Genomic DNA, 12,733 nt, shown 5'->3' with positions numbered 1-12,733 from the left:
TTCTCCTCCTCCTCCTCCTCCTTCCCTTCAATCCACTGTAGACTTAGAAAAAAACCTGAAAACTCCCACACTGGGTGGTTCCTTCTAAGACTCAACACCTGCATGGTTACAGGATAACAAAGATGACCAGTCTCATGGCTCTAGGTCTGGGCACTGCTATGTCTACATAGGACTATGGCAGGATCTAGGCTAAGGGCTTGGTCAAACCCACGCTCACTAATTATAGAGAAGTAGTTACTGCAAAATTTCCCGAGGAAACCAAAGCTAGGGTTTGGTTTCCACTTAGATTGAGCAACTTCCTTCCAGGGCACTCAACCTTCTCAGCAAAACATTCTCTTTTAATACAGGCAGTCCAATAATGCACAAGGGTTGTGATTGTGCATTTGACATAAACATATAAATGCACCTTCAGGAGGAAGCTGGGCCCCTGGTTATTCACTCTGGTGGTGGTGTTTACGTGAGGCACTGTCCACTTTAATCATCTTAAAAATTTAGAACAGGTTGAGGTCACGACTCACGGCCAGTATGGCAGCAAGGGACAGCTAAGCGTATACTGTGAGATTTGAAGTAAATAGGTGGCTCTCACCTGTAATCCAGCACTTTGGAAAGTCCAAGCGGGAGGACTTCTTGAGGCCACGAGTTTGAGAGCAGCCTGGGCAACACAGGGAGATCTTGTCTCTACCAAAAATATTTAAAAACTAGCCAGACATACTGGGGTGCTTCTGTAGTCCCAGCTACTCAAGTAACTGAGGTGGGAGGATGGCTTGAGCCCAGGAGGTTGAAGGTGCAGTGAACTGTGATTACGCCACGGCACTCCAGCCTGGGTGACAGAATGAGACCCTGTCTCTAAGAAAAATTAAAAATAAAGGCTGGGCGCGGTGGATCATGCCTGTAATCCCAGCACTTTGGGAGGCCGAGGTGGGTGGATCACAAGGTCAGGAGATTGACACCATCCTGGCTAACACGGTGAAACCCCGTCTCTACTAAAAACACAAAAAATTAGCTGGGCATGGTGGCGGGCGCCTGCAGGCCCAGCTACTCGGGAGGCTGAGGCAGGAGAATGGCGTGAACCTGGGAGGCAGAGCTTGCAGTGAGCCGAGGTCGCGCCACTGCACTCTACCCTGGTCAAAAGAGTGAGACTCCATCTCAAAATAAAATAAATAAAATAAAATAAAATAAAATAGAAATTAATAGTATTACCTCAAGTGACAGAGGATGTTTCACATTTCACTTGTAGCCACCTAAAAATAATTTAAAATCACACTAAAGGGATCTAAGACTTTCATTGCCTGAATCCTCCTTTTCAAAATTGTGTCTCCTCTAAAGGATATCTTAGGCTCCTCTCCTTCCTCCAGCCAACGTCAACCTGCGCCCAGCAGGCTGGGCAGGAAGCTCAGTGTCTTCATCCCAGCCAATCTCTGAAGAGAAACTGGAAACGTTTCCGGTTAACTAAGCCAGTTGCTCCAAAAAGGCCCCCATTCCTGGGTCACTTTCTTCTGACCTGTTCCTAAGTGAAGTTGGCACTGGTTTGGGGTAGATGGGCTGCAAGAACTGTTTTCAGATTTCCCAGACCTCGCTCTCTCCTTTTTGTAAACACCTTGACCTAAATTTCCCATCCACTGCTTGCTGGTCAGCACTGCATTTACAATTTCCAACTTCAGCTGTTCCTAAAGGAACAACTGGGGTCCAAGATAGCGCATCGGACCTATCTGCCTTAAACAGTAGGGTTCCTGTTCTCTCCTCTGGGGTGGTTGTCACAGGAACTCATGGCAACCAGATCTTCCCCAACAGAGCAGCTTCTCAGAGTGGTGGGTGGTTATCGGGGCCAGGCAGAGGCTATGCTGTTGTATATAGTGATGCCTCTGGGGGATTCACAACGAAAGAACCATGAGTGGGTGTGTGGGTGTGTGTAGAGACAGAGGGAGATGAGACAGAGAGAGTGCCAAGAGACTTTTGTCACGGTAGCCAGGAATGGGCTATTTTGGGTTATTTTGAGTTGGAATCTCACTCTGTCACCCAGGCTGGAGTGCAGTGGTGCCATCACAGCTTACTGTAGCCTCGAATTCCTGGGCTCAAGCAATCCTCCCACCCCAGCCTCCCAACTGGCTAGGACTACAGGCTCACAGCACAGGCACGGTGGCTGTGCCACGGTGGAGTTCAAGACCAGCCTGAGCAACATAGTGAAAACTCATCTCTACAAAAAATACAAAAATTAGGTGTGGTGGCATGCACCTGTAGTCCCAGCTATTTGGGAAGCTGAGGCAGGAGGATAGCTTGAGCCCAGGAGGTGGAGGTTGCAGTGATCCAAGATGGCACCACTGGACTCCAGCCTAAGTGAGAGAGCCAGACCCTCTCTCAAAAAAAAAAAAAAAAAAAAAATCCCAGCTCTTCCACTTACTGGCTATAAGACCTTGCTGATTTAAGATATTCAGCTTCTTGGAGCCAAAGTTTCCCCATCTGTAAAATGGGGATGACAATAATAATACCTACCCGATAGGGTGGCTTTGATGATTACACAATGTAATACGTATAAACTGCCTGGCACATTGCAAAGCACTGTGTGTGTTAGCCGTTGCTTTTATTACGCTACACCTGTCTCCATGGTTTTACCCCTGACTTTAACATGAACATTTTTTAAAAACTTATTTTGAAAGAATTTTAACCTTACAGAAAAGTTGCAAGAATAATACAATGAACTCCATATACTCTTTGGATTCACTGATTGTTAATATTTTGCCACGTTTGCTTTATCTCCCTCTCTTTTTTCTTTCTCTTACTCTCTATATACCATCATTATAGTTATCATTTTTGCTAACCTATTTAAGGGTTAAGTTATGGGTATTTTGACCCTTTACCTCTAAGAACAAGGAGGTTCACTCATGTAACCACAGTAAAATGATCATATTCATGAAATGTACCACTAATACAATACCATGATTAAATACACAATCCAACTCAAATTTCCCCAACTGACTCCATTATAATGCCTTTTAAAGAATTGTTCTTCCCTGTTCTGGGATCCAACCCAGAATCACATGTTGCGTGCAGTTGCCAGGTCACATGAGTCTCCTTTAATCTGGAATAGCTCCTCAGCCTTGCTTTGTCCTTCGCGCTGAGCCATTTTTGAAGAATGCAGAGTGTGTAGATGCCCCTCATCTGGGCATGTCTGATTTTGCTCCTTGTGATCCCGTTCAGATTATGCACTTCTACAGAAGGCTACACAAGTCCTGTCTTCCTCAGCGCATCCTGCTGAGAGGCGCATGATGTTCGTTTCCATCTGTGGGGAGATACTTTGACACTATAAACATCCTGTACCTCACACACCTGCACCCAGCAGCTTCTAGACAGATCGGTAAGCTGTGCACTCCATGGCACCGGTGCTGGGCACCTGGAGTTTGGCCGCCCGGGCCCTCAGCCCCGAGCCCTCCCGCCCTTCCTGTGCTTCCTCCCATTTTGCTACACTCCTCCCTGCCTTTCAGGACGGGGCCTCCTTCTCATGCCCCTTCCCCACCAATCGCAGGGACTCCGTAAATTGACATTTGAATGTCAGATTGAAATTAATAAAAAATGCGTGACCTAAGGTCTGCATATCTTTTCAGGGTAAGTGCTTCAGCAAAAGTTTTTTGGACAAGGATTTTGTTTATAGTTCACAAGGGTCGGGCCTCAAAGGACATAAATATTCTATCTGCCTAAGGGCAATTCAGACTGAAAAAAAACAAAACAAAACCCTGAAATGGTGTGGAGGAGGGAGGGAGAAAAGAGAATTAAATATGCATATACCTCGCAAGCCCGCCACCCTCCTCCATATGGTGTCTATGTAGCAGGCGGTAAAAGACCACCCTGTTAGAGAAAGCGATAACGTAGAATGTGGTGGACAGATACTCAGGCACTTATTCTATATTGACCAAGAACCTATCATGGGCTGGTACTGCTCCTACTCTAAGAGCTGTGGTGATCTCAGTGAATTAAACAAACTCCTTGTTCACATAGAACATATATTTTAGTGAGTACTAACAGACAATGAACAAATATCATCCCCACACCCCCCCCACACACACACACAGACACCCATCAGGGAGCAGTAAGTGAAGGGGTATAGGAAGACAAGCAGGCAGGGAATACTTTGCACAGTCAGACGTAATAAACTAGGCTGGGTTCGGTGGCTCATGCCTGGAATCCCAGCAGTTTGGGAGGCTGAAGGGGAGGACTACTTGAGGCCAGGAATTTGAGACCAGCCCTGGGCAACATATCGAGACTCCATCTTTACAAAAAATAAAAAAACTAGCTGGGCATGGTGGTGCACACCTGCAGTCCCAGCTACTTGGTGGAGGCTAATGAGGGAGGGTTGTTGAGCCCAGGAAGTCTAGGCTGCAGTGAGCCATGGTGGCACCACTGCACTCCAGCCTGGGTGACAGAGTGAGACCCTGTCTCAAAAAAAAAAAAAAAAAAAGTCATAAACTAGATTTACAAACAGTATATGAATAGACTTTAAAAATATAGTCAATTGACCATTGATTAGCATTTATGATGCAAAGACAGAACAACTTTGTACAGAACTATATTCCTGGGTGGGGATTTCTGGTTGTAGCAGGATATTAAGCAAATAATAGAGAACCTTTTCACGCCACCTCTGGCTGAGCCACCCCACTCTGTTGAATGTATTAGAACTACCTTGATTTAAAAAAAAAAAATATATATATATATATATATACCCATTTCCAACTAACATACTGTTTCCTGAAAATAAAGCTCTACTCCACACACACACACACACACACACACACACACACACACACACACACACACAAAAGAAGAAGATGGCTTCTGGGAAAAGATGTTTTCTCCAGCAAGCTAAAAATTGGAATGACCAAAGAAAGCACCTTTCCAGCCTAACAGAGACCATTAGTGAGGCAGGCAAGAATCCAAAGTTGGAATCTACATCCATTGAATCTAAGGTCTCCTGTCTTTCTCAGTGTCCTTCAAATGACTTTCAAAATAAAGTCTTATTTTGGCAAAGGCAAAAAAAATACATAGTCAATTGAAAGAAGGGCATAGAATAAAATTAATGGCATCATATTACTTATGAAACTTAAAAACACGTATGCAAAATGCTGCTATACATAGTTCAGGTAAACACATGTCTAAGGACATGTATATCAACAAGTTAGCATGTAAACCTAACGGAAGTGAGAATGGAAGTTCGAAAGGGGAACGGGGAAAAAATAATGAATAAAACAAAAGAGGAGCTTTGTCTGCATGGATGATAGGGGGCCAGGAATTGAAGTGTAGGATTATTTAAGTGAAAGTAAAAAGAAAGATCCAAGAAACAATGGGGAAGGAAGGAGATTTTGCTGCCAAGAATGAGGAAATGAATCTACTTTTCCTTCCTCCCTGCATTTGGGACTAGGTCTGCCAGTGAGCCTCCAAGCTTCTCCCTCTGCCCCATGAGGCTGTCTCAGGGCAGCACAGCCTGCAAATCTGCCACTGCCAGGGGGCAGCAGGGGCAAGCATGGTGGCAAGAGGCAGTGGGCAGGCGTGAGGCAGCCTCTACCAGCCTGTGGCCACCTTCACTGGATCACACAGCTCTGGTTCCCAGTTCAGCTCCATTATCTACTGTATATGTGACCTTTGGGCAAGTTGCTTTATTCTCTGAAGCTGTTTCCCCATCTGTGAAATGCGACTAATAATATCATAACAGTAAGCCCTTCGCAGAGTGGTTGTAAGGATTCTGTGGGCCAGCGCATGTAAAGCCTCCATTGCAAGGCTGGAACTAGAGCCCATTCTTGGAAATTCTTAGTTATTAACATTCTTCTCTTTTTTGCTTTCCTGAAATGACTGCCAAACTCAACTTAGTCCCAGCACATCATTCTGCATGTTCAGAACATGCCTAAGCAAACTACAGGCAGGCTACTGGCAACCTCTGCCAAAGGATACCTGTGGCTTTCACTTTTTTTTTTTTTCTTTTTTCGAGATGGAGTCTGGCTCTGTCACCCAGGCTGGAATGCAGTGGTGCGATCTCACCTCACTGCAAACTCCGTCTCCCAAGTTCAAGCGATTCTCCTCCCTCAGCTCCCCAAGTAGCTGGTATTACAGGCCCCCACCATCACACTGGCTAATTTTTGAATTTTTAGTAGAGATGGGGTTTCACCATGTTGACCAGGCTGGTCTCGAACTCCTGACCTCAAGTGAGCCGCCCGCCTTGGCCTCCCAAAGTGCTGGGATTACAGGCATGAGCCACCGCACCTGGCCGGCTTTCACTTTTTAAACACACCACACCTGACTCTTCCTGATCAGCCCCCAGGATCAGGGGTTACAGAATGCTCTAGTACAAACCTCACCTGATCATGTTTCCATGCAAGAACAAGAGGAAACCCAACGCTATTCTGTGGATCTCTTCTCTGCAAAGCTATTGAAATGCTGGCGTTTATTTTTCAATGTGCTGTGCTCAGGACAGCTTCTTTTTTCTACACATTTGACATAGAATCACATAAGGAACGGAGTCAAAACCCCAGGGAGAAAGGGTGTGTGCTCACTCGTGTGTGTGTGATTGTGTGTACATGTGTGTGTTGCAGGTGATCTTATTCTAGGTGGTTGCTGAGTTTCCATCTCCAGATTTTCATGGCACCTTTAGCTCAACTCAGCCCAGGCCGAGTAGGTTTGCCAATGTCTGTGCCTGATGTTGGCAGGATGGCTTTGGCAGGAATTGTGAGCACAGTTTTGAAACCTGTACTTATCAGATGGCACCGGATTGCAGTGTGGCAATAATTACAGGACAATTCAGAGTTTTGCCGGGACAAAGGGTGGAGCAACTCTTTGCGGTTGAGATTGCAGAGCAGCCAAAACTGCCCCACCTGCGGTGTGGTGGGGAATGAGGGAAGGACGGGCCCCCAGGAAGAGCAGGGCGCACAGCTGCAAGTGTCTACACTTGAATGCCTACCTCAAAAGCACAAGCAAACAAGGGTAACCCCTGGGGCTGTCCCCACGGAGATCTGCATAGGATGCTAAATTGTGAACCCCTTGCAATTAGGGACCATGCCTAATTCATCTTGTTCTCCCAGAAACTGGTAGTAGGGCCTGCCCAGAGTAGCTGTTCAATAAGTATTCATAAAATAAAATAAAAGCTTTCACATCTTTTTGCAATGCAGCCAGCTAAAATGAACACCAGATCTTAAGCACTCTTAAATGCCACCTTATTGGTTTCTTGTTTTGTGTGTGTGTATGTGTGTGTGTGTGTGTGTGTGTGTTTTAGACAAGAGTCTCACTCTGCTGCCCAGGCTGGAGTGCAGTGGTGCGATCTCAGCTCACTGCAACCTCCACCTCCCGGGTTCACGCCATTCTCCTGCCTCTGCCTCCTGAGTAGCTGGGACTACAGGCACCCACCACCACGCCCGGCTAATTTTTGTATTTTTAGTAGAGACAAGGTTTCACCATGTTGGCCAGGCTGGTCTGGAACTCCTAATCTCAGGTGATCCACCAAATGCTGGGATTACAGGCATGAGCCACTGCACCAGCCCCTTATTGGCTTCTGATCTCTTTCTTTTTTTTCCTTCCCTTTAGGATTGTAAACTGCAGTTTCCTCCCAGATGCTATTTACACACACGTTTTGCCAGCTTAGTACTGTGTCCCTGTTCGCATCGGTGTAGCACTCACACACCTGCAAAGTGCCTCTAACGATTCATTCTTCATCTCAGTCTTCAAAGCAAGGTCGTTGGGGCATCTCTAGTCTCCACTGCAGGCTGCAGGTGGGAGTTAGAGAGAGTGTGAGAAAGTTCAGTTGTCCAGGGAGAAGAGCGAAGGGACCCATCTCTCTCTTGCCACCTGGGGTTCAGTCTTTCTTCACCCGCTAAGTCAAACTCCCTGAAGCTTAACAAAACAAGAGTGATTTCTTCTGCTCTCTTTCGCATCTGGTCTTCTAGATCATTTTGTTCTTCCAAGTAGCTCCTGACAAGCTGCAATTCATTTTAGGCAGATACAAGTTGCATGAGCCCGAGGTGCTGAGTCTTGCGTCCCTGGCAAACTTTTCAAACTGAGTTTGACGTTGACGCCTTTCTTTAGAATGAGCACTTGTGTTTGCCACCTGAATCAAACATTATTATGAACATGTATTTACACACAGAATATTAATCTTAAAAATTCCTCCCAATGTTTTATCCAGTTTGGAGCCAAAGAAGTTCATTCTCTGTGTGTGTTTATTTCTCTCTCTTGATAAACCGCATTTATCAGAGGAAGTTTGTCTTTTTAGTCGTTGTCGTGCAAAAAATAGTAACCGAGTGACTATTCCTCTTATAAACTAAAAAAAAAAAAAATCCAAACACCTCCCCACCCGCCCCAACAAATGACTGAACGGACTGTCCTCTTGGTCAAGGGGATCCAAGCAAACCTGAAAAACTAGCTCAGGCCATGTGGGAAGGGAGGGTTGGACGTGCCCCATTTACCCTCCTCCCTTTGGAGTTTAGGCACAGCTGACCAGCATTAACATGCCATTAACGCTCTTAAGACTGATAAAACAGACTCTTTGTAACAATAAGATACCAAATTCCAACCTGACTCTGGTATAACATCACATGACAGATAGCAGGCCTTGAAGGAAATTGGTTTACACCCCCCACAAAAAACAAAAACAAAAAAAAACAACAACAACTATATATATGTGTGTGTGTGTGTGTGTGTGTGTGTGTGTGTGTGTGTGTTCTTTTTTTAGCAACCTTGGGCAAATTACGTAGCCCATGTCGCCCTGATGACCTCTGTAGAATCGTTGCGAGGATTAAATGACTCCATTTATGTAAAGCTCACAGAATAATGCCAGGGACTATGGTAATCACTCAGAAAAAAAAAATGCAAGCTGGTGGGGCATAGTGGCTCACGCCTGTAATCCCAGCTCTTTGGGAGGCCAAGGCAGGCGGATCACGAGGTCAAGAGATCGAGACCATCCTGGCCAACATGGTGAAATCCCATCTCTAATAAAAATAAAAAAATTAGCTGGGCATGGTGGCGTGCGTGCTCCTGTAGTCCAAGCTACTCGGGAGGCTGAGACAGGAGAATGGCTTGAACCTGGGAGGTGGAGGTTGCAGTGAGCCGAGATTATGCCATTGTGCTCCAGCCTGGGTGACAGAGCAAGACTCCGTCTCAAAAAAAAAAAAAAAAAAAGCAAGCTAATATCACTTGAAAGATGGAGATGATAATGCCTACCTGATAGGAAAGTCGTGAGGAAGATTAACATTTAAACATCCAGCACATACTAGGTCTAACTCAGTAATGCTTCCATCCTTCCACTCTTGTGACTTGGATATACCTGGAACATTGACTTATCAGGAGTATCTACAGAAGTGGATAATGTGGGTGAGGGTTAGAGCAAATGAAAGGTGTTGTCACTCATAGAAGCTATGGTCCCAGGTGCTCTCAGCCCCTCATTCTCTCTGGCTTCTCCTGGCAGTTTGCCTCCTGTCCTTGCTGTTCAGTGGAGCAGGCTCGTCTGGGGTGCAGGACTATATTCTCTCTTTGATGAACCTCTCTCTGTAGGGTGGCTTTATCAAGAAGTCCTAGCCTGGACCCCGAGTCCCTAGGATAGTCCAGCTTCATCTGGAAGTACTTTCCATCCTCCAGAGCAGAGGTCAGCAAAATTCTCCTTACAGGGCCACATATTAAATATATTTGGCTTTGCAGGCCCTACGGTCTCTGCCGCTATTACTCATCTCTGGCATTCTAGCTCTAAAGCAGCTGTAGACGATCCCTAAATGAACAGGCATGGCTGTGTTCCAGCAAAAGTGTATGTAGTGGCACTGAAATTTCAATTTCATTTCAGTTTTGTGTGTCATGATATAGTATGCTTCCCTTGATTTTTTTCAAACAATTGAAAACATAAAAACCATTCTCAGCTTAAAGGCCACACTAAAACAGGTGTGGAACTAAATTTGGCCAATGGGCCACAGTTTGCTAACCCCTTCAGATCCTCTCTTTCAGTGTAGAGGATTTCTCTTAAAAATGCATTCATTGTTTATTTTTTATTCTCATTCGATGTCAAATGTAACACTAGCTGTATAGGCTAATCATGTTATATTCCCAGTGACAACTTCTCCTTGAGTAGACATGATTTTGGCTGTGACATGTGTATGTCTGTGAACTATGGTACAGACTCATGTGATAATGGACTTTAGCAACTTTGAGCTTTTTATTCTCTTTTTAAGGAATCCTTCCTAACTCATTTTATGAAGCCAATATCACCCTGATACCAAAACCAGGAAAGGACATAAGAAAAAAACAAAACTACAGACCAATATCACTGATAAATATAGATGCAAAAATCTTCAATGATATACTAGCTAACCAAATCCAACAGCACATCAAAAAAGATAATCCACCATGATCTAGTGGGTTTCATCCCATGGATGTAGGGATGGCTTAACATAGGCAAGTCAAAAAATGTGATACACCACATAAACAGAATTGAAAACAAAAACCATATGATTATCTCAATAGATGCATTTGATGAAATTAAGCATCCCTTTATGATAAAAATCCTCATCAAACTAGGCACAGAAGGGACTTACCTCAAAATAATAAAAGCCACATATGACAAACCCACAGCCAACAGCATACTGAATGGGGAAAAGTTGAAAGCATTTCCCTTGAGAACTGGAACAAGATAAGGATGCCCACTTTCACCACTTCTATTCAGCGTGGCACTGGAAGCCTTAGCCAGAGCAACCAGGCAAGAGAAGGAAATAAAGGACATCCAAATTGGAAAAGAGGAAGTCAAACTATCACTGTTCACTTATTATATGATCATATATCTAGAGAACCTTAAAGACTCCTCCAAGAGACTCCTAGATTTGATAAACCAATTCAGTAGTCTCAGGTTACAAAAATCGATGTACACAAATCAGTAGCACTGCTATACACAACAATCACCAAGCTAAGAATCAAATCAAGATCTTAATTCTGTTTGCAACAGCTGTAAAAAAGAAAAAAAAAACCCTAGGAATATACTTAATCAAGGATGTGAAAGATCTCTACAAGGAGAACTACACAACACTGCTGAAAGAAATCATAGATGACATGAACAAATGGAAACACATCCCATGCTCATGGATCAGAAGATTCAATGTCATAACAATGACCATATTGCCCAAAGCAATCTATAGATTCGGTGTAATTCCTATCAAAATGCCAACATTATTTCTCATAGAATTAGAAAAAACAATCCTAAAATTTATATGGAACCAAAAAAGAGCCTGAATACCCAAAGCAACCCTAAGCAAAAAGAACAAATCTGGAGACATAAGATTACTGGACTTTAAATTACACTACAAGGCCATAGTTACAAAAACAGCATAGTACTGGTATAAAAGTCAACACACAGACCATAGAGAACCCAGAAATAAAGCCAAATACTTACAGCCAACTGATCTTTGACAAAGCAAACAACACAAATTGGGGAAAGGACATCCTATTTAATAAATGGTGCTGGGAAAACTGGATAGCCATCTATAGAAGAATGAAACTGGATTCCTCTCACCTTATATAAAAATCAACTCAAGATGGATCAAAGACTTAATTCTAAGACCTGAAACCATAAAAATTCTAGAAGATAACCTAGGAAAAATTCTTCTGAGAATTGACTTAGGCAAATAATTTATGACCAAGACTCCAAAAGCAAATGCAACAAAAACAAAAATAAATAAATGGCACCTAATTAAACTAAAAAGCTTCTGTACAGCAAAATAAATAATCATCAGAGTAAACAGACAGCCCACAGAACGGAAGAAAATATTTGCAAACTATGCATCCAACAAAAAACTAATATCCAGAATCTACAAGGAACTCAAGCAAATCAGCAAGAAAAAAACAAATAATCCCATCAAAAAGTGGGCAAATTATATGAATAGACATTTCTCAAAAGAATATATGCAAATGTACAACAAATATATGAAAAAATACTCTGCTAATCATCAGGGAAATGCAAATTAAAACCGCAATGACATACCACCTTACTCCTGCAAGAATGGCTATTATTAAAAAGTCAAAAAACAATAGATGTTGGCATGGATGTGGTGAAAAGGGAACGCTTATACACTGCGGGTGGGAATGTAAATTAGTATTACCTATATGGAAAGCAGTATGGAGATTTCTTTTTTTTTCTTCCTTTTTTCTTTTTCTTTTTTTTTTTTCTTTTTTTTTTTTTTTTTTGAGACAGAGTTTCACTCTTGTTGCCCGGGCTGGAGTGCAATGGCACGATCTTGGCTCACAACAACCTCCACCTCCCGGGCTCAAGCGATTCTCCCACCTCAGCCTCCTGAGTAGCTGGGATTACAGGCGCCCACCACTACACTCAGCTAATTTTGTATTTTTAGTAGACACGGGGTTTCTCCATGTTGGTCAGGCTGGTCTCGAACTCCCAACCTGAGGTGATCCTCCCACCTTGGCCTCCCAAAGTGCTGGGATTAAAGGCATGAGCCACCACGCCCAGCCTGAGATTTCTTAAAGAACTAAAAGTAGATCTACCATTCTATCCAGCAATCCCACTACTGGGTATGTACCTAAAGGAAGATAAGTCATTATATGAAAAAGACACCTGCACACATATGGTTATTGTAGCACAATTCACAATTGCAAATATATGGAACCAACCTAAGTGCCCATCGACCAATGTGTGGATAAAGAAAATATGGTATATATACATCATGGAATACTACTCAGCCATAAAAAGTAATAAAATAATGTCTTTTTCAAGAAC

General features: G+C 43.5%; 2 long non-coding RNA genes across 7 annotated transcripts in view; one reads left to right on the top strand and one right to left on the bottom strand.

Annotated features, from left to right (window-relative positions):
- Nucleotides 1–12,733, bottom strand: part of LOC105373215 (uncharacterized) — a 66,658-nt gene that overhangs the window by 19,806 nt on the left and 34,119 nt on the right. Inside the window, exon 3 of one of the 6 annotated variants that reach the window (XR_001738545.2) lies at nucleotides 2,558–3,277. The exons of the other annotated variants lie outside the window; for them this stretch is intronic. This is a non-coding gene — a long non-coding RNA (uncharacterized LOC105373215). Of the gene's footprint in view, nucleotides 1–2,557; nucleotides 3,278–12,733 lie in introns of those variants that run through there. 6 annotated transcript variants of the gene reach the window in all.
- Nucleotides 1–12,733, top strand: part of LINC02768 (long intergenic non-protein coding RNA 2768) — a 61,478-nt gene that overhangs the window by 33,375 nt on the left and 15,370 nt on the right. The gene's annotated exons all lie outside the window — the stretch shown is intronic.

The sequence above is a fragment of the Homo sapiens genome, chromosome 1 (assembly GCF_000001405.40).
Source record: "Homo sapiens chromosome 1, GRCh38.p14 Primary Assembly".
Lineage (NCBI taxonomy): Eukaryota > Metazoa > Chordata > Mammalia > Primates > Hominidae > Homo > Homo sapiens.
The sequence above is the reverse complement of the archived record's forward strand: the minus strand, read 5'-3'. Positions and strand labels throughout refer to the sequence as shown.